Source organism: Homo sapiens, chromosome 16, assembly GCF_000001405.40.
Source record: "Homo sapiens chromosome 16, GRCh38.p14 Primary Assembly".
In the NCBI taxonomy this organism is placed as follows: domain Eukaryota; kingdom Metazoa; phylum Chordata; class Mammalia; order Primates; family Hominidae; genus Homo; species Homo sapiens.
Window position 1 is genome coordinate 32410819 of NC_000016.10, and position 23296 is coordinate 32434114.

Below are 23296 nucleotides of genomic sequence, written 5' to 3' on the forward strand. Positions count from 1 at the left end.
GTGAGTTGGATTCCTAGGTATTTTATTCTCTTTGTAGCAATTGTGAATGGGAGTTCACTCATGATTTGGCTCTCTGTTTGTCTATTAATGGTGTATAGGAATGCTTGTGATTTTGGCACGTTGATTTTGTATCCTGAGACTTTGCTGAAGTTGCTTATCAGCTTAAGGAGACTTTGGGCTGAGATGATGGGGTTTTCTAAATATACAATCATGTCATCTGCAAATAGGGACAATTTGACTTCATCTTTTCCTAACTAAATACAATTTATTTCTTTCTCCTGCCTGATTCCACTTTTCAGAACTTCCAACACCATGTTGAATAAGAGTGGTGAGGGAGGGCATCCTTGTCTTGTGCCAGTTTTCAAAAGGAATGCTTCCAGTTTTTGCCCATTCAGTATGATATTGGCTGTGGGTTTGTCATAAATAGCTCTTATTATTTTGAGATACGTCCCATCAATACCTAGTTTATTGAGAGTTTTTAGCATGAAGGAGTGTTGAATTTTGTCAGAGGCCTTTTCTGCATCTATTGAGATAATCATGTGGTTTTTGTCTTTGGTTCTGTTTATGTAATGGATTACATTTATTGATTTGCATATGTTGAACCAGCCTTGCATCCCAGGGATGAAGCCCACTTGATCGTGGTGGATAAGCTTTTTGATGTGCTGCTGGATTTGGTTTGCCAGTATTTTACTGAGGATTTTCGCATCGATGTTCATCAGGGATATTGGTCTAAAATTCTCTTTTTTTGTTGTGTCTCTGCCAGGCTTTGGTACCAGGATGATGCTGGCCTCATAAAATGAGTTAGGGAGGATTCCATATCGTTCTTTTTTTTTTTTTTTGGATGAAGAAAGAACTGTTTAATTTTTTTGATGTTTTCAATGTTGATATTTTTTCCAAGAATTAGAGAAATATCTCTGGATGGTTATCTAAAATTTATAATTTTTGTACAGATATGGTATGTAGGAGAGTGTCATAGTTTTTCTATTATTATACTTTAAGTTCTAGGGTACATATGCACAATGTGCCGGTTTGTTACATATGTATACATGTGTCATGTTGGTGTGCTGCACCCATTAACTCGTCATTTACATTAGATATATCTCCTAATGCTATCCCCCCTCCCCCCACTCCATGACAGGCCCCAGTGTGTGATGCTCCCCACCCTGTGTCCAAGTGTTCTCATTGTTCAATTCCCACCTATGAGTAAGAACACATGGTGTTTAGTTTTCTGTCTTTGCGATAGTTTTCTCAGAATGATGGTTTCTAGCTTCATCCATGTCCTTACAAAGGACATGAACTCATCCTTTTTATGGCTGCATAGTATTCCTTGGTGTATATGTGCCACATTTTCTTAATCCAGTCTATCGTTGATGGACATTTAGGTTGGTTCCAAGTCTTTGCTATTGCGAATAGTGCCGCAATAAACATATGTGTGCATGTGTCTTTATAGCAGCATGATTCACAATCCTTTGGGTATATGCCCAGTAATGGGATGGCTGATTGAAATGGTATTTCTTGTTCTAGATCCTTGAGGAATTGACACACTGTCTTCTACAATGATTGAACTAGTTTACACTCCCACCAACAGTGTAAAAGCATTCCTATTTCTCCATATCCTCTCCAGCACCTGTTGTTTCCTGACTTTTTAATGATCGCCATTCTAATTGGTGTGAGATGGTATCTCATTGTGGTTTTGATTTGCATTTCTCTGATGGCGAGTGATGATGAGCATTTTTTCATGTGTCTGTTGGCTGCATAGATGTCTTCTTTTGAGAAGTGTCTGTTCATATCCTTTACCCAATTTTTGATGGGGTAGTTTGATTTTTTCATATAAATTTGTTTAAGTTCTTTGTAGATTCTGGATATTAGCCCTTTGTCAGATGGGTAGATTGTAAAAATTTTCTCCCATTCTGTAGGTTGTCTGTTCACTCTGATGGTAGTTTCTTTTGCTGTGCAGAAGCTCTTGAATTTAATTAGATCTCATTTGTCAATTTTGGCTTTTGTTGCCATTGCTATTGGTGTTTTAGTCATGAATTCCTTGCCCATGCCTATGTCCTGAATGGTATTGCCTAGGTATTCTTCTAGGGTTTTTATGGTTTTAGGTCTAACATTTAAGTCTTTAATCCATCTTGAATTAATTTTTATATAAGGTGTAAGGAAGGGATCCAGTTTCAGCTTTCCACATATGGCTAGCCAGTTTTCCCAGCACCATTTATTAAATAGGGTATCCTTTCCCCATTTCTTGTTTATGTCAGGTTTGTCAAAGATCAGATGGTTGTAGATGTGTGGTATTATTTCCGAGGGCTCTATTCTGTTCCATTGGTCTGTATCTCTGTTTTGGCACCAGTACCATGCTGTTTTGGTTACTGTAGCCTTGTAGTGTAGTTTGAAGTCAGGTAGCGTGATGCCTCCAGATTTGTTCTTTTTGCTTAGGATTGACTTGGCAATGCAGGTTCTTTTTTGGTTCCATATGAACTTTAAAGTTGTTTTTTTCCAATTCTGTGAAGAAAGTTATTGGTAGCTTGATGGGGATGGCATTGAATCTATAAATTACCTTTGGCTGTATGGCCATTTTCACGATATTGATTCTTCCTTTCCATGAGCATGGAATGTTCTTCCATTTGTTTGTGTCCTCTTATTTTGTTGAGCAGTGGTTTGTCGTTCTCCTTGAAGAGGCCCTTCACATCCCCTGTAAGTTGGATTCCTAGGTATTTTATTCTCTTTGAAGCAATTGTGGATGGGAGTTCACTCATGATTTGGCTCTCTGTTTGTCTGTTATTGGTGTATAAGAATGCTTGTGATTTTTGCACATTGATTTTGTATCCTGAGACTTTGCTGAATTTGCTTATCAGCTTAAGGAGATTTTGGGCTGAGATGATGGGGTTTTGTAAATATACAATCATGTCATCTGCAGACAGGGACAATTTGACTTCCTCTTTTCCTAGTTGAATACATTTTATTTCATTCTCTTGCCTGATTGCCCTGGCCAGAACTTCCAAGACTATGTTGAATAGGAGTGGTGAGAGAGGGAATCCTTGTCTTGTGCCAGGTTTCAAAGGGAATGCTTCCAGTTATTGTCCATTCAGTATGATATTGGCTGTGGGTTTGTCATAAATAGCTCTTATTATTTTGAGATACGTCCCATCAATACCTAGTTTATTGAGAGTTCTTAGCATGAAGGGCTGTTGAATTTTGTCAGAGGCCTTTTCTGCATCTATTAAGATAATCATGTGGTTTTTGTCTTTGGTTCTGTTTATATGATGGATTACGTTTATTGATTTGCATATGTTGAACCAGTCTTGCATCCTAGAGATGCCAACTTGATCATGGTGGATAAGCTTTTTGATGTGTTGCTGGATTCAGTTTGTTACTATCTTATTGAGGATATTTGCATCAATGTTCATCAGGGATATAGGTCTAAAATTCTCTTTTTTTGTTGTTGTGTCTCTGTCAGGCTTTGGTATCAGGATGATGTTGGCCTCATAAAATGAATTAGGGAGGATTCTGTCTTTTTCTATTGATTGGAAAAGTTTCAGAAAGAATGGTACCAGCTCCTCTTTGTACCTCTGGTAGAACTCAGCTGTGAATCCATCTGGTCCTGGACTTTTTTTTGGTTGGTAAGCTATTAATTATTGCCTCAATTTCAGAGCCTGTTATTGGTCTATTCAGAGATTCAACTTCTTCTTGGTTTAGTCTTGAAAGGGTGTATGTGTCCAAGAATTTATCCATTTCTTCTAGATGTTCAAGTTTATTTGTGTAGAGGTGTTTATAGTATTCTCTGATGGTAGTTTTTATTTCCCTGGGCTCAGTGGTGATATCCCCTTTGTCATTTTTATTGCATCTATTTGATTCCTCTCTCTTTTCTTCTTTATTAGTCTTGCTAGCAGTCTATCAATTTTGTTGATCTTTTCAAAAAACCAGCTCCTGGATTCATTGCTTTTTTGAAGGGTTTTTTGTGTCTCTGTCTCCTTCAGCTCTGCTCTGATCTTATTTTTTGCCTTCTGCTAGCTTTTGAATGTGTTTGCTCTTGCTTCTCTAGTTCTTTTAATTTTGATGTTAGGTGGTCAATTTCAGATCTTTCCTGCTTTCTCTTCTGGGCATTTAGTGCTATAAATTTCCCCCTACACACTGCTTTAAATGTGTCCCAGAGATTCTGGTACATTGTGTCTTTGTTCTCATTGGTTTCAAAGAACATCTTTATTTCTACCTTCATTTTGTTATTTACCCAGTAGTCATTCAGGAGCAAATTGTTCAGTTTCCATGTAGTTGTTCAGTTTTGAGTGAGCTTCTTAATCCTAAGTTTGAATTTGATTGCACTGTGGTCTGAGAGACAGTTTGTTGTGATTTCTGTTCTTTTACATTTGGTGAGGAGTGCTTTACTTCCAATTATGTGGTCAAATTTAGAATAAGTGAGATGTGGTGCTGAGAAGAATGTATACTCTGTTAATTTGGGGTGGAGAGTTCTGTGGATGTCTATTGGGTCTGTTTGTTGCAGAGCTGAGTTCAGGTCCTGGATATCTTTGTTAACCTTCTGTCTTGTTGATCTTTCTAATATTGACAGTTGGGTGTTAAAGTCTCCCATTATTATTGTGTGGGAGTCTAAGCCTCTTTGTAGGTCTCTAAGGACTTGCTTTATGAATCTGGGTGCTCTTGTATTGGGTGCATATATATTTAGGATAGTTAGCTCTTCTTGTTGCATTGATCCCTTTACCATTATGTAATGGCCTTCTTTGTCTCTTTTGATCTTTGTTGGTTTAAAGTCTGTTTTATCAGAGACAAGGATTGCAACCCCTGCCTTTTTTTGTTTTCCATTTTCTTGGTAGATCTTCCTCCATCCCTTTATTTTGAGCCTATGTGTGAATTTGCGCATGAGATGGGTCTCCTGAATACAGCACACTGATGGGTCTTGACCCTTTATCCAATTTGCCAGTCTGTGTCCTTTAATTGGGGCATTTAGCCCATTTACATTTACAGTTAATATTGTTATGTGTGAATTTGATCCTGTCATTATGATATTCGCTGGTTATTTGCCCATTAATTGATGCAGTTTCTTCCTAGCATTGATGGTCTTTACAACTTGGCATGTTTTTGCACTGGGTGGTACCAGGTGTTTCTTTCCATGTTTAGTGCTTCTTTCAGGAGCTCTTGTAAGGCAGGCCTGGTGGTGACAAAATCTCTCAGCATTTGCTTGTCAGTAAAGAATTTTATTTTCTCCTTCACTTATGAAGCTTAGTTTGGCTGGATATGAAACTCTGGATTGAAAATTATTTTCTTTAAGAATGTTGAATATTGGCCCCCACTCTCTTCTGGATTGTAGGGTTTCTGCCAAGAGATCAGCTGTTAGTCTGATGGGCTTCCCTTTGTGGCTAACCTGACCTTTCTCTCTGGCTGCCCTTAACACTTTTTCCTACACTTCAACCTTGGTGAATCTGACAATTATGTGTCTTGGAATCGCTCTTCTCAAAGAGTATCTTTGTGTTGTTCTCTGTATTTCCTGAAGTTGAATGTTGGCCTGCCTTGCTAGGTTGGGGAAATTCTCCTGGATAATATCCTGAAGAGTGTTTTCCAACTTGGTTCCATTCTCCTCATCACTTTCCGGTACACCAATCAAATATAGATTTGGTCTTTTCACATAGTCCCATATTTCTTGGAGGCTTTGTTCATTTCTTTTTACTCTTGTTTCTCTAACCTTGTCTTCTCACTTTATTTCATTTATTTGACTTCAATCACTGATACCCTTTCTTCCACTTGATTGAATCGGCTATTGAAGCTTGTGCATGAGTCATAAAGTTCTTGTGCCATGGTTTTCAGCTCCATTGGGTCACTTAAGGTCTTCTCTACACTGTTTATTCTTGTAAGCCATTCGTCTAATCTTTTTCAAGGTTTTTAACTTCCTTGCAATGGGTTCCAACATCCTCCTTTAGCTCGGAGAAGTTTGTTATTACCAACTTTCTGAAGCCTACTTCTGTCAACTCATCAAAGTCATTCTCTGTCCAGCTTTGTTCCATTGCTGACAAGGAGTGGTGATCCTTTGGAGGCGAAGAGGTGCTCTGATTTTTAGAATTTTCAGCTTTTCTGCTCTGGTTTATCCCCATCCTTTTGGTTTTATCTACCTTTGGTCTTTGATATTGTTGACCTACAGATGGGGTTTTGGTGTAGATGATCTTTTGTTAATGTTGACACTATTCCTTTCTGTTTTTTAGTTTTCCTTCTAACAGTCAGGACCCTCAGCTGCAGATCTGTTGGAGTTTGCTGGAGTTCCACTCCAGACACTGTTTGCCTGGGTATCACCAGTGGAGGCTGCAGAACAGCAAATATTGCAGAATAGCAAATAGTGCTGCCTGATCCTTCCTCTGGAAGCTTTGTCCAAGAGGGGCAGCTGCCTATATGAGGTGTCTGTCAGCCTCTACTGGGAGGTGTGTCCCAGTTAGGCTACACAGGGTTCAGGGACCCACTTGAGGAGGCAGTCTGTCCATTCTCAGAACTCAAACGCCATGCTGGAAAAACCACTGCTCTCTTCAGAGCTGTCAGACAGGGACGTTTAAGTCTGCAGAAGTTGCTGCCTTTTGTTCAGCTATCCCTGCCCACAGACGTGGAGTCTAGAGGCAATGGGCCTTGTTGAGCTGCGGTGGGCTCCACCCAGTTCAAGTTCCCTGGCCGCTTTGTTTACCTACTTAAGCCTCAGCAATGGTTGACGCCCCTCCCCCAACCAGACTGCCACCTCGCAGATGGATTTCAGACTGTTTCGCTAGCAGTGAGCAAGGCTCCATGGCTGTGGGACCTACTGAGTGAGGCACAGGAGAGAATCACCTTGCCTGCTAGTTGCTAAGACCTTGGGAAAAGTGCAGTATTTGGGCGGGAGTGCCCTGTTTTTCCAGGTAGTCTGTCACAGCTTCCCTTGGCTGGGAAAGGGAAATCCCCCAACCCCTTGTGCTTCCCGGGTGAGGCGACGCCCCACCTTGCTTCAGCTCACCCTCTGTGGGCCTGCACCCACTCTCCAACCAGTCCCAATGAGATGAACCAGGAACCTCAGTTGGAAGTGCAGAAATCACCCGTCTTCTGTGTCGATCATGCTGGGAGCTGCAGACCGGAACTCTTCCTATTTGGCCATCTTGGAACCCATCCAGAACATCTGGTAGAAGAAATTTGTAAGCAGCAAAGTGTTCAATTTATGACCTGAGTGTTCTTAAAAGTGTTCAGTTTTATGCATTCACAAAAATATGGTTTGGAATTAGAACCTATGTTTAAAAGGGAGCAGAGCATAAAAGTTTGGAAGATTTGCAACCTGATGATGTGATAGAAAAGAAAACCCATTTTCTGGGGAGAAATTCAAGCTTACTGCAGAAATTTGCAGAAGTAACAAGGAGCCAAATGTTAATTGACAAGATAATGGGGAAATTTTCTCCAGGGCATGTCAGAGTTCTTCACGACAGCCCCTCCTGTCACAGGGTTGGAGGCCTAGGAGGGAAAAAATGGTTATGTGGGCCAGGCCCAGAACTTTGCTGCTCTGTGCAGTCTTGGGACTTGGTGCCCTGTGTCCCAGCCATGGCTAAAAGGAGCCAACGTACAGCTCAGGCTATTGCTTCAGAGTTCAATCCCCAAGGCTTGGCAGCTTCCACGTAGTGTTGGGTTGATATGCTAGTTGGCCATTTGTATTTTTTTTTTTTTTTGGAAAAAATGTCTATTCAAGTCTATCTTAGTCCATTTCTGCTGCTATAACAAAATACCTTAGGCTGGTAATTTATAAACAACAGAAATTTATTTCTTGCATTCTGGAGTGTGAAAAGTCCAAGATTTAGGCTACAACAGACTCAGTGACCGGTGAGGTCACTACATTCACTATACATAGCACCTTCTCTGTGTCCTCACATGTTCAAAAGGGAAAACAAACTCCCTTAAGCCTCTTTTATAAAGGCCCTAGTCCCATTTCTGAGGGCTATGACTTCATGAACTAATCATATCCAAAATGCTCCACCTCTTAATATTATCACATTGAATATTAGGCTCCAGCATATGAATATTGGGAGAACATTTGGACCATAGCAAAGTCAACTGACCATTTCTCATTTAGGTTGTTTTGTTATTGAGTTGTTGTTCTGTATATATTTTAGATATTAACCCCTTATCAGGTATTTGGTTTGCTGGGAGGTTTTTGATTCCTGATTCACTACTAGTTATAGGTTTATTAAGATTTTTTATTTTGTGACTTAGTCTTGGTAACTTGCATGTTACTAGGAATCTGTTCATTTCTCCTAGGTTATCCAACTAGTCAGTATATAATAATTCATAGTAGACTCTTAGAATCGTTTTTATTTCTGTAAATATCTGTTGCAGTGTCTTCTCTTTTGTTCCTAAAAGAAGTTGAGTCTTCATTATTTTTTTTCTTAAATATTCTAGCTAATGATTTGTCAATTTTGTTGAACTTTGAAACGACTACTAGTTTCATTGGGTTTTTTCTATTCTCTAGCCTTTTTTTTTTTGAGATGGAGTTTCACTCTTATTGCCCACGCTGTAGTGCAATGGCGTGATCTCCGCTTGCTTCAACCTCCGCCTCCCAGTTCAAGTGACTCTCCTGCCTCAGCCTCCAGAGTAGCTGGGATTACAGGCATGCACCACCATGCCCGGCTAATTTTGTATTTTTTAGTAGAGACAGGTTTCTCCATGTTGCTGAGGCTGGTCTTGAACTCCCGACCTCAGGTGATCCACCTGCCTCAGCTTCCCAAAGTGCTGGGATTACAGTCATGAGCCACTGCACCCGGCCTTCTGCTCTAGACTTTATTATTTCCTTCCTTTTGCTAACATTGGGTTGAGTTCTTCTTTTTCCAGTTTCGTGAGGTGTAAAGTTAAGTTGCTGATTTCAGATCTTTCTTCTTTTTTAAGGTAGGTAGTTAGATATATAAACTGTCCTCTTCATATTCATTTTGCTGCATCCCACAAGCTTTGGAATGTTGTGTTTCCATTTTTATTTGTCTCAAGACATTTTCTAATTTTCCTTGTGACTTGTTCTTTGACTATGTATTAATCAGAGTTCTCCAGAGGGTCAGATCCAATAAGAAATAGATATAGATATAGATATAGATATAGATATAGATAATAGATAATAGAGATACATATACATGCATCTAAAAGAGAATATATTTACATGTATATGAAATATAATTTATTAAGGAGAATTGGCTCACATAATTACAAAGGCAAAGTCCCACAATAGGCCATCTATAAGCTGGAAAATGAGAGAAGCTTACAGCATGGCTCCCAAGGAAGCCAGTGACATGGCTCAGTCCAAATCTGAAAGTCTCAAAACCAGGGAAGCTGACAGTGCAGCCACTAGTCTGAGGCCCAAGGCCTGAGAGCTCCCAAAAGGCTGCTGATGCAAGTCCCAGGGTCCAAAGGCCAAAGAACCTAGAGTTTGATGTGCAAGGGCAAGAGGAGAAAAAGGCATACTGCTCTGGAAGAGAGAGAAAGTGCATAAAAAAGAAATCCAAGCAAGCTGAATGTTCCCATTCTTCTGCCTTTTTGTTCTAGTCACACTTGCAACCAATTGCATGATGCCTACCCACAGTGAGGATGGGTTTTTCTCTCTCAGTCCACTAACTCATCCATCATTCTCCTGTGGCAACACCCTCACAGATATACCCACACACAGTGCTTCATCAGGCATCTGAGCATCCCTCAATCAAATTGACAATTAATATTAACCACACAGACCAATTGGTAGAGAGTATATTTTTGTAATTTCCACATATTTATTACTTTTCCTTTTTCCTTCTGCTATGAATTTGTAATTTCATTTAATGTGGTCAGAAAAGATATTTGGTATGAGTTCAGTTTTCTTAAATTTTTAAAAACTTGTTTGTGGACTAGCATGCCATCTATCCTGGAAAAGTCTTGGTATGTACTTGAGAAGAAAGCATATTTTGCTATTATTGGGTGAAGTGTTCTGTATATGTCAGACAGGTCCAATTGGTCTACAATGTTGTTCAAGTTCTGTGTTTTCCAGTTGATCTTCTGTCTGGTTATTGTATCCATAATTGAAAGTGGAATATTGAAGTTTTTTGTTATTATGATGTTGTTATCTATGTTACCCCTCAATTCTGTCTACGTTAGCTTCATATATTTAGATGCTGTACTGTTAGTTGCATATACATTTATAATTGCTATATCTTCTTGGTCAATTGGCCCTTTTATTATTATGTAATATCCTTGTCTCTTGTGCTATTATTTGACTTAAACTCTATTTTGTCTAAGTATGGCCATCCTTGTTCTCTTTTGGTTACCAAATGCATTGAATATCTTTTTCCATCCTTTCACTTTCAACCTTTGTGTGTGTTTAGATCTAACATAAGTCTCTTGCATATAGTATATATTTAGATTTTTTTAATCCATTCGGCCAATTCTTTGTCTTTTGATTGGAAAATTAGCCTATTTGCATTTAAAGTAGTTACTGATAGGGAGGGGCTTACTATTGTCATTTTGTTCACTGTTTTATACATGTCTTGCAGGTATTTTTTTCCACTTTTCCTCTCTTTCTGCCTCCCTTTATGTTTCACCGATTTCTTTTTTTGGTAGGGACGTGCTTTGGTTCCTTTCTCATTTTTATTTGTGTATCTTCTGTAGGTCTTTTCTTTGTGGTTACTGTAGAATTACATGAAAACATCTTATAGTTATAATAATCTATTTTAAATTGACAACAACTTAACTTTAATAACATACAAAAACTCTACTTCTTTACACCTCCTTCTCACTTTGTTATCAATGTCACACAATATATATTTTATATTGTTTATTCACATAATTTAATACAGTAATATTATGCTTTTACCTTTTAAATTCTATGCTTCAATTAAAAGTGAATTACAGGCTGGGTGTGGTGTCTCACATCTGTAGTCCCAGCACTTTGAGAGGCCAAAATGTGAGCATCGCTTGAGCCTCGGAGTTTGAGACCAGCAAGGCCTTATCTCTGCTAAAAATTTAAAAATATTATCTGAGTGTTGTGGTGCATGTCTGTAGTCCCAGCCACTCGGGAGGCTGAGGTGGGAGGATTGCTTTAGCCTAGGACTGCAAGGCTGCAGTGAGCCATGATCAAACCGCTGCACTCCAGCCTGGGCAGCAGAGCAAGACTTTGTCTCAAAAAAAAAAAAAAAAAAAAAAGTAAAGGAAAAAAAGTGTTTTGCTTACCACCATTAGAGTATTAAAGGATTCTATGTTCACTCATATATTTACCTTTACCAAAGAAGTTTATATTTTGTATGCTTTTGTATTTCTATCCAATGCCTTTTCATTTCCACTTGGAGGACTCCCTTTAACGTTTTTTGTAAGGTAGGCCTAGTGGTGATCAACTCCCTCACCTTTTACTTCTCTGGGGAACTCTTTGTCCTTCATTTTTGAAGTACAGTTTTACTGGCTATACAGTTCTTGGTTGACAGTTTTTTTTCTTTCAGCCCTTTTAATATATCATCCCATTCTCTTCTGGCCTGTAGAGTTTTTGCTGAGAATTCCATTGATAACCATATGGCATCTCCCTTGTATGTGACAAGTTGCTTTGATCCTGTTCCTTTCAAAATTCTAATGTGTCTTATTGTAGGTCTTTTGCAAATTATCCAACTTGGAGTTCTTTGAGCCTCTTGGATTTGTATGTCCATTTCCTTCTTTAAGTTTGAGAAGTTTTTGGTCATTACTTTTTTAACTGGCTCTCTGCCCCTTTATTTTTCTCTTCTCCTTCTGGTACTTTCATAATGCATACATTGGTCTGCTTGATGGCATCCTGTAAGTCTCTTAGGCTGTCTTCACTCTTCACTCCTTTTCCCGTTTGCTCCTCTGACTCCATAATTTCAAATGACTAGTCTTCTGTTTCACTGATTCTTTCTTCTGCTTGATGTTATTGAAACTGCCTTTGCAAAAATTATAACTGAAGAAATTATGACAGCAAAAGATATCAGACTTAATCAACTCCATCTTGCTTCTAGCATTTAAACTGTCCTTGTTCATTCCTGGCAGTAGGATGAACTAATTTTGGTAAGGTATTCAGTTCATGGTTTGACTCTCAAACCAAGTTGATAATAGCCATTTCCCAAAAAGATCCCCTTCTTGCCTGGAACCAGTCTGCCTTTGCGGGATAAACAAATTAGCTATAACATTAGAAATTACAGTTGAGGGGTTATGCAGCCTCTGGCTCCAAGAGTCTGAACCTCTCCAAATTGCTCCTGGGGATAACATCACTATTGTAAAACCTAAAATCAGTGCTTGAGATATTTTGCAGACCCTGCACTGGATGAATCAGCTGACACCACCCAGACTGGTAATATGGCTCAACTGGTTCTGCCACCCCACCCACAAACAGAAGACAGCAAGAAAACGTCATCACTTCAACCCCGTATGATTTCATCTCCAACCTGATGAATAAGCAGTTCCCACTTCCCAAGCCCCTACCTGCCAAATTATCTTTAAAAGTTCTGATCCCCGAATGCTCAGGGAGACTGATTTGAGTAATAATAAAACTCTGATCTCCCGCACAGCCAGCTCTGCCTGAATTACTCTTTCTCCATTGCAATTCCCCTGTCTTGATAAATCAGCTCTGTCTAAGCAGGGCACGAGGTGAACCCATTGGGCAGTTACACAGTCTATTGGTGATTTCCGATAGTGAATTTTTCAATTGAGCTATTGTATTCCTTAGCTCCAGAGTTTCTGTATGGTTCCTTTTTGTTTTTTTAGTTTCTATCTCTGTTAATATTTTCATTTTGTTCATGAATTATTTCCTGCTTTCACTTAGTTGTCTATTTCTGTTGTCACTGGGCTTCATTAAGAGAGTTAATTTGGATTCTTTGTCAGGTAACTCATTTACCTATTTCTTTAGGGTTGGTTTCTGGAGATTTATTTTGCTCCTTTAATTTAGTCATCAGGTTTCTCTCTTTCTTCTTATGTCTTGTTATTTTTTATTTTTTATTTATTTTTGCCAATATTTGGGCGTTTGAAAAAACTGCCACTTCTCCCAGTTTTTATCAGCTGGCTTCATACGGAAGACCTTCATACCTGAATCAGCATGGCTATAGGTTCCAGCAGCCTCTCAAACTCTTTCTGGGAATGCATCTTCTTTGGGTTTATACATTGCAACATCCCAAGTAGAGGTTTGCCAGTTTCTTTTTCTGGAGCTGTTGCTCCTTCTGGTATCTGTCTGTGGTACTGCAGGTTCCCTGGTGCTGCATCATCTCTGACCTCTCCTTTATTCCCAGTGGCTCCCATGCATCCAAAGTATGCCAGTTGGGCGTCAAGTTAGAGAGAGTGAGAGAGCTTCAGGTAACCTCATAAAACTATTCCGTTTCAGTCTTCTCTTTCCCTGCTAACGGAGAAGCTGCAAGTTGAGTGCTTCCCAGCCAAACCAACCTGTTCGAGCTTGGGGAAGGGGTATCATCAGTATAATGCAACAGCTTTTCTTATCTGTTCAATGCCACTATTCTTGGCTTTGCACTTGTCTGTACTACTACAACTTCTTAATGGTTTATGGAACTCCATAAAGGCTTTTAGACCATATATTGTTTTTCAGTTGGTATCTTTATGGAGAATCAAGGTTTGGAGCTTCCCATTCCACCATCTGGCTGACATCACTCTGTTTATATTATTTTTTATTTTTATTATATTTTATTTTCTTGAGACAGGATCTTGCTCTGTCAGCCAGGCTAGAGTGCAGCCTCGAACTCCTGATCTCAAGGGACCTCCTCCCTCAGGCTACTGAGTACTTGGACTATAGGCACACACCACATACCAGGCTAATTTCTTATTTTCTTGTGAAGATGGGGTTTCACTCTGTTGCCCAAGTTGGTCTCAACTCTTGGGCTCAAGCAATCCTTCTGCCTTGGCCTCCCAAAGTGCTAGGATTAAAGGTGTGAGCCCACCATGTACTGCCTGTTATATTTAGTAGAAAATATATCTAAAAATATACTTACGTACTATATTGAATCCACTACCCAGAGCTTAACTGAACTATTTGTGTGACTCATTCTGTTTTTTTATTTTTTGCTTTTTACTTATTACAATGAACTACAAGTATGGATATATTAATATTAATTAATATAAAATATACTGGAATATTTTGTATTTTTTTTTCTTTTTTCTTCACCAAAAGCAGAAACTTAAATACACTGAAATCTTAAATGACCCTTGAATGTTTCTAGGACTGACCCTGGAACAAAATTTTTTATGTTGTTATTACATTGTTCTTTTCATGTTAAAATCATTTGTTTTTTTTCATATAGTACGTCAAAGAAGAATTGTTAATATAGCCCTTACCAGCCATATGCTAAGTGCCACAAGTGTTTCGGTCTCTCTCCATTCTTGTACCTCACTTAGTCTTTTTTTTTTTCTTTTGGAGGTGTAGCCTCAGTCTTTCACCCAGGCTGGAGTGTGGTGGCAAAATCTCAGCTCACTGCAACCTCTGCCTCCCGGGTTCAAGTGATTCTCCTCCCTCAGCCTCCTGAGTACCTGGGACCACAGTTGTGTGCCACCATGCCGACCTAATTTTTGTATTTTTAGTAGAGATGGGGTTTCATTATGTTGGCCAGGCTGGTCTTGAACTCCTGACCTCATGTAATCCACCCTCCTCAGCCTCCCAAAGCGCTGGGATTACAGACATGAACCACTGCGCCTGGACTACCTCAATCTGTCTTTTAAATTGGCTATGTAAGGGGAGCATCTTGTGCTTGTTAAGTCTTTGTTTTCTGGCCTATTTATATAATGAACATTTCTGAGTTGTGTGTATATATTAAATTATTTGAGAGTATATAGTTAATGTACTAAATAGATCTATGTGTTTTCATACATGTCACTATAAAAAGACCATTTGCACATATTTGTTCTATCAAATGCTTACTTTTCTTCATGAACCACCTAGATTTGCTTTTCTGATGTGTAGTGTATGTGAAAATATTTCTTTGTGAATTTTTTTTTATTGTGTGCCCCTACAGGTGGTATGCTTAATAATGCCATAGTCTCTATAAGGAACGTATGCATTAGTCTGCTGGCAGGAATTGTTTTGGGATTTTTTGTTCGATATTTTCCAAGTGAAGACCAAGTAAATACAAAATCTATTTTATAGAAGTATAGTATTAGACATTTTTTTCAAAATATTAAACTTTGGTAAGATCCATGAAATTTAATACTTAACTCTATTTTTCTAAAACTAGCCTCCAATGCCTACTCTGTATTTAAAACTGAGCACAGCAGTGATTGATACAGGTCAATGGCTTTGATTAAAGTCTCTGCTTCCTGATTTGGCAAATAAGGAATGTCAAAAAATATACTTGATGCAGAGTATCCCTCTGAATTATACTTTCCCTTTCTCTACTAAATTGCCTATTGATGTTTGATAATTTCCCCTTAAACATTTTAGGGGGAGATAGGTTCCCATTTATTTCTGCATATTTTCTGACTGAAATTCACTCCTGCTATCCTTTGACAAAGGCAACACTCAAACTTAGCCATTTCCTGCCTTAAAGGAAAACATGACATTACTTTTGTATTTCTGTAATTTCCATCCAAATTTAGCTGTAACATATTGACCAAAGAGTAATTCAAATATTTTTTAAGAATTCATTGGATATGTTATATGAAACTGGAGATTTTATGGGTCTCTTTTCTTCTTCACTTAAAGTAATACTTAAACCATTTTACTGATACTAGTATCAGAGATGTGGCAGAAGATGAAACGTTACTAATTGGAAATTTTGTTACTTGGTAGTAAGTCTACTAAAATGTATGGTGAGAAAGAAAATCAAAATTTTAGACATTTAATATAACATTTAAAGACATAATATCAAAAGGTCAAACATATATAATAGATAATGTCAAATCTTGTATTATATATTTAATATAAACTAATTTCTAAATATCTATCTAATTCTAGAAAAAACTTACATTGAAGAGAGGATTCCTTGTTTTGACTACGTGTGTTTCTGCTGTCTTAGGCAGCCAACGTATTGGTTTACATGGATCTGGAGGATTATGCACACTAGTGTTGAGTTTCATTGCAGGGACAAAATGGTCCCAAGAAAAGGTGAATATTTTTAATATGCTATATTTTAAAAGCTAAGACAACTGAATTTTTTACATATATTTAGGAAATCCCCTCATTCTGGTTGGAAAATATTCCAAAAGATTTGCTATCCTCAAGAAAGTGTATGAATCAATTGAGGAAATAAAATATTTAGGAAAAGCAGCTGGATATATACTAATATGGAATCAGAAGTTGCGTTAATCACATCAGGTTTCTCTTTTTCCCAAGTTTTATATAATATTATTATATTACTTATATCAATCTAATTATTTTATTCATTGAAATTTTAATTATACAATTAATCCATGAAGAATGTTTGTAAAAGGCCAGGCACGGTGGCTCATGCCTGTAATCCCAGAACTTTGGGAGGTCGAGGTGGACAGATCACCTGGGGTCAGGAGTTTGAGACCAGCGTGGCCAACATAGTGAAACCCCATCTCTACTAAAAATACAAAAATTAGCTGGGCATGGTGGCGTGGTGGTGGGCACCTATAATTCCAGCTACTCAGGAGGCTGAGGCAGGAGCATTGCTTGAACCCAGGAGGCGGAGGCTGCAGTGAGCTGAGATCATGCCATTGCACTCCAGCCTGGGCAACAAGTGCAAAACTCCATCACACACACACAAAATAATAATAAACAAACAAATAATAAAAATAGAAATGCTTGTAAAAGAATAAAACATATAGAATAAAATGTAAAAGATTTCTTTATTCCCCACCACTGTCAAATATCGAACCCCTTTACATTTTTTTAAGTAACCAGTATTCTATTTGTAGACATTAAGATCGTTTCCACTTTTTGTTATTTACAAACAGTGCTGTCATAAACAGTGTTGTTCATGTCTTTTTTTTTTTTGAGACACAGTTTCACTCTTGTCACCCAGGCTGGACTGCAGTAGCATAACCTTGGCTCACTGCAACCTCCACCTCCTGGATTCAAGTGATTCTTCTATTTCAGCCTCCCTACTAGCTGGGATTACAGGCACGCACCACCACGCCCAGCAAATTTTTGTATTTTTAGTAGAGACGGGATTTCACCATGTTGGCCAGGCAGGTCTTGAACTCCTGACCTCAGGTGATACTCCTGCCTCGGCCTCCCAAAGTGTTGGGATTACAGGTACATCTGTAGGAATAGAGTCCTAGAAATGATTTTTTTTTTTGAGACAGAGTCTCTATCTATGTTGCCCAGGCTGGTCTCAAAATCCTGAGCTCAAGGAATCCTCCCAACTTGACATTGCAAAGTGCTAGGATTACAAGCATGAGCTACCACACCTGGCTGGAAATGATCTGTGTTTTATTTTGATGGACACTGCTAAATTATCCCTTCAAAAATTTTGGTTATTTACACTCTGCCAACAGTGCACAACAATATCTAATACCTTAACTCATCAACAGCACTTGATATTATCACTAGTTCTATTCTTTTTACTATTAAATGACCTCACCATCCAATTCTTATAGTTTCTTACAATTATGTGGTGTTGTTATTCTTTATTTACATTTCTCTGATTAGTAGTATAGTAAGCTTCTCTTCATATATTCTTTTTAAAATACCTATGATCTTCTTTGACCATTTTTATTGGGTTATTTATTTTTTTGTTTCTAATTTATAGTTTCTCTTAGTGTTAGGGCTACTGATCCTTTGTTATGTATATATTGCATATATTTTTTGCTTATCTTCAACTTTGTTTATGGTGTCTGGTGTATGAAAGTAAAATTTCCTATGACCAAACCTATTGGGTTTTCCATTTTTGATTTTGGATTCTGCATCTCATTTAAGAAGGACTTTCTCACTGAAGATTATAACATATAAACATTACAAAGATATACTATTTTGTGTATTATCATTTAATATTTTGGTAGTTTTTGTTTGATTAATTTGTTCTTTCATTTAGTCTTTTAATCTATCTGGAATTTATCTTTGTGAATTCTGTGAGGTAAGGTTATACATATATACATATGTGTATCTTACAAACTATATATATATACACACACACACACATACAGTTTGTAAGTTAACTGAACAGAGATAGAACTACATCATGCCTGATGTGTGTGTGTGTATAGATATATATATATATACACACACACACATAAATATACATACATATTCAGACACACATATATACTTGCATGTGATGAATATGTACATACATATATATGCACATAATCTAGACAGTCATTTTTTGCCAAATTGTTTATTTATTGACCAATTCATTAATAATTCAGTTTTTTAACATGAACTAAATTCTCCCATATATATTAATTCTGAAGTCTATTTAATCCTACTTCTCTATTTCTATGCCAACACCACTGTTTTAAATCACTGCACTTTTATGTGTCAAAATCTAATATAGATTTTACTTCTTTTTAAAGTATTTTTTGGCTGTTCCTACACATATTCTTTCTTAGATAAATTTTAGAATCAGCTTGAGAAATTCCCTAATCAAAAATCATAGTGGCATTTTGCTTAGTATTCTTATATAATCATAATTATAAAAGAAATGAATGAAATGCAAATCAATAAATAAAATTAAAACTGCTAGAATTTTTTTAAATGGTAAAAGACACAGAACTAAAACAAGTTTTAAAGATTAAAAGTAACAAACAGGATAATTATGCTGTAAAGAGTAGTAACATCGTTTTTCTTTGTTTTTCTTTTTTTAAACTATAATAAGTGGGGATCAGAAAACACAGTCATAAGGGAAATAGTTATAAAGATAGTTTATGCCTCAAGGAAGAGACATCAAAGTTCTTATGTATCTTCTGTTTAAAAAAAAAATTAAACCCAGACTGAGACTGAAATCTCTTCATCCAAATTCCTGGAGAAGAGCCAGAGTAATGTAGGCCAATAGGGGGCCTTTCCTGTAACCTTTTAATTGGGGAAGTAGTACTGGGAGGCATTCGTTTTCAGAAAGGGAAGCCGGATAGGCAGCTAAATGAGAATCTAATATATGTTTTCTTTTGTTTTGAGGAAAAAGTAACTTTAAAGTATTCAACACGGGTTCTTTGGAAGCAGGCCTAGTAGACTTCCAAATTGTTTTTCCTAGTAGTATATGCTATATATATCAGGATTCACTTTAATGGGATTGAGTTCCAGGATGGTTGTTAGTGGAAGGCTTCCCAACCTCCTTCTGAGATCCCAAATGTTTGCATGAACTGGGTATGTTCTCATCAGGCATGAGGTAGTTCTATCTCTGTTCAGTTAACTTAGAGACAAAATCTGGAACTCATACGAAACATGGCTAGAACCCTAAGGACATCACTTATTCTGTGACAAAATGGCCAAATAGTATTGTTTTATTGCTTTGTAAGTTTCTTTTAATCAAATTCTACCTAAGTGTTTAAGTAAAACTATTGAAGTGCTCAGTTTTTATTAATTAAGTTTAACATTTTTATTAAAATAAAGTGTATTAAATTTATTAAATGTTAAGTGACTTTAGGCCAGGCATGGTGGCTCATGCCTATAATGCCAGTGCTTTGGGAGGCCACAGCCAGAGTCCACTTGAAGACAGGAGTTCTAGACCATCCTGGGCAATATAGCGAGACCCCGTCTCTATAAACAATTTAAAAATTAGCCCAGCATGGAGGTACACACCTGTAGTTCTACTTGGGAGACTGCGAGAGGATCACTTGAGCCCAGGAGTTCAAGGCTACAGTGAGCTAAGATTATGCCACTACACTCCAGCCTGGGCAACAGAACAAGACCCCATCTCTAAAATACTTAAAAAGTGAAAAAAAAAAAGGTGAGGGAGAACTTAACTTTCTGAAATATATTTATGTGCCAAAATAATTATAAATGTATTTCTCTTTTCTATAGATGAAAGTCCAAAAGATTATTACAAATGTATGGGATATTTTTCAACCACTTCTTTTTGGTTTAGTTGGAGCAGAAGTATCTGTTTCATCGCTTGAATCAAATATTGTTGGTAAGAATAAATAGAGCACAAAAAATATGAAATTCAAAAATATTTAAGAAAATTATAAATGCATTTATTTTTATTTACAATATATCTTTGAATGGCTACAAGGACCTTCTTCAGAAACACATGTTGATACAGTGTCATATTTTCATATTGCTCTTCCTTTACACTGTGTGCTCTTTCTTTTTTAAACCAGGGACAGCCCTGAATATCTTCCCTGAGTTATCTAAGGAAATAAATATAAGATTTCTTTCCTGAGGGAACATATTTGATACGATCAGCACTTTTTGAGTACTTTCATTTAAAACTATTGGCTGGGTATGGTGGCTCATGCCTGTAAACTTAGCACTTTGGGAGGCCGAAGCGGGCACACTTCTTGAAGTTAGGAGTTCAAGACCTGCCTGGCTAACATGGGGAACCCCATCTCTCCTAGAAATACAAAAATTAGCCAGGTGTGGTAGTGCGCGCCTATAATCCCAGCTACTCAGGAGGCTGAGGCAGGAGAATCACGTGAACCCGGGAGTCGGAAGTTGCAGTGAGCTGAGATTGTACCACTGCACTCCAGCCTGGGCGACAGAGCAAGAATCCTTCTCAAAAAGTAAATTATTATTAATAATAATAAAAGTATTCAAAAAAAGTCTATTAGTTCAGAATTGTATAAATGTCATCTGTCTTATTTTTCATGGAACCTCCACCATCAGATACTGTCTTGCACTTTACAGAGAATCCTCCATCATATTCATTTTTTATTATCATTATTTTATGTAAAAATTAAACACATGAAGAGACAATAGCCTTAAAATGCTTTCGAAAGTTTTAGAAATCATATTCCTGGGCATAAAGAACACTTCTTCACAAATATTTTGTTATTTATGTTTGTTTTCATCTGTTGTAGGCATATCTGTTGCCACTCTTGAGTTTGGCATTATGTGTTCGAATTTTAACCACATATCTATTGATGTGCTTTGCTGGTTTTAGTTTTAAGGAGAAAATATTTATTGCTTTAGCATGGATGCCCAAAGCTACAGTACAGGTAAGAACATATTAAGCCTATTGCTTAATGCTTTTGTTTTGATGCTTTTAAAATTTAAAATGAAAAATGTTACTCCAATCACAAAATATGAGCTATTGTCCTTACTTTTTAAATGTTTGATTGATCATAACTATTCATTAAAATTAACGTAACCAGTCCCAGCTACTCAGGAGGCTGAGATGGGAGAATCACTTGAACCCAGGAGGCGGAGGTTGCAGTAAGCTGAGATGGCACCACTGTACTCCAGTCTGGGTGACAGAGCAAGATTCAATCTCAAAAAAATAAATAAATAAACAAAAACAAACAAAGAAACTCAATGTAACCTTTTTCTATTTTTATTTTTATTTTCATTTTGAGACCAGGTCTCACTCTGTCACCCAAACTGTAGTGCAGTGGCATGATCACGGCTCACTGCAGCCTCAACCTCCTGGGCTCAAACAATCCTCTCACATCAGCCTCCTGAGTAGCTAGGATCACAGTCACCTGCCACCATACCCAACTGCTTTTTTTCAGATTTTTTTTTTTTTTTTGAGACAGTCTTACTCTGTTGCCCAGGCTGGAGTGCAGTGGCATGATCTCAGCTCAATGCAACCTCCACCTCCCAGGTTCAAGCGATTCTCCTGCCTCAGCCTCCTCAGTAGCTGGGATTACAGGTGCACACCACCACACCCAGCTAATTTTTGTATTTTTAGTAGATATGGGGTCTCATCATGTTGGCCAGGCTAGTCTCAAACTCCTGACGTCAAGTGATCTGCCCACCTCAGCCTCCCAAAGTGCTGGGATTACAGGCATGAGCCACTGCACCTGGCCTTTTCTTTCTGATTTTTTTGTAAAGAGGAGGTCTTGCTATGTTGCCCAGGCTGATCTTGAACTCCTAGGTTCAAGTGATCTTCCTGCCTCAGCCTCCTAAAGTTCTGGGATTACAAGCATAACCCACTGGGCCCAGCCAATGTAACCTTTTGAAATCTCAGTTTTAAAAGCAATTATTTTGAAATCAAAAAGTATTCTTTCAATAAGTACTTCCTAAGTTTATGAAAATATGTTTTTTATTTTCCTAAAATATATAATAAGAATATATCTGAAAATTGGAGTTTTTATATTTTGCTGAATATAACAAAGCTAAATGTTATGATTTTAAAAAGTAGAGACACAGGCCAGGCATGGTGGCTCATGCCTGTAATCCTAGCACTTCGGGAGGCTGAGGCAGGCAGATCACTTGAGCTCAGGAGTTCAAGACCAGCCTGGGCAACATGGTAAAACCCCCGTCTCTACAAAAAATACAAAAAAATTAGTCAGGTGTGGTGGCACGCACCTGTAGTCACAGCTACTTGGGGGCTGAGGAAGGAGGATTGCTTGAACTCAGGAGGTTGAGGCTGCAGTGAGCTGAGGTCACGCCATTTCACTCCAGCTTGGGTGACAAAGTGAGACCCTGTCACAAAAAAAAGTAAAGTAAAATAGAGACACATTGATTTTTTTAAAAAATACTTTTCCTACCTTGCCACTCACTCCATCACACAAATGCACATATATTTTTTTAATTACACATTTATTTGTATACTATTTGGTTAATGGCTAAATCCCTGCCCCCGCCCCCTTGATAGACTACGTAAGGACAGGGACAGTGTCTGGTTGTTGCCGTTGTTTTTCATTATTTCTCCCTGGCACTTAACACAGTGCCTGACATGCAGGAGGCAAATACGTATTGCATGCCTGCAAGGATGAATGAACGGAAAGGGAAACCTTGTAATTTTGCCCTGTTATTCAAGGATATTCTCCTCCTACTAAAATATATTGCTACTTCTTGTTAGACTGTTTAACTTGGCAGCATAATATACCTTAATTTCCTGTGACTCTTTTCTTAGTTGTTATTCCAAAACAGAAGCTCCTAAATTTTCATGCAAAAAAACCTCTATTATCATGTTAGAAAAGCAGGTTCATAGGGCCAGACTACCTGTTTTGAATACCATGTTACTTGCCTATAACCTCAGGAAAATTATTTTCTAGTCTCTCAGTCCTTCAGTGTTCTCATCTTACAATGAAGTCTATGACTGTATCTGTTTCTTAGCAGTGTTGTCAGGATTCAATGAGATAATCCATGTAAAGTGCTTAGCACTCTCTCTGGCATATGGTGGTGCTCAGTTAAAAAACAATGCTGTTATTTTATCTTACCTTCAAGAAATATAAATAATAACTTTTTATTTTTAATGTCTACTCTAGGGAATAATAAATCTGCAAAAGGAGTATCTGTTCTCTCTCCTTCCAACAATACTCTTGCAATTTTGTTTCATTATTTCAT

At 37.7% G+C, this 23296-nt stretch overlaps 1 pseudogene; it reads left to right on the forward strand.

Annotated features, from left to right (window-relative positions):
- Positions 1 to 23296, forward strand: part of SLC9B1P5 (solute carrier family 9 member B1 pseudogene 5) — a 48235-nt pseudogene that overhangs the window by 22688 nt on the left and 2251 nt on the right.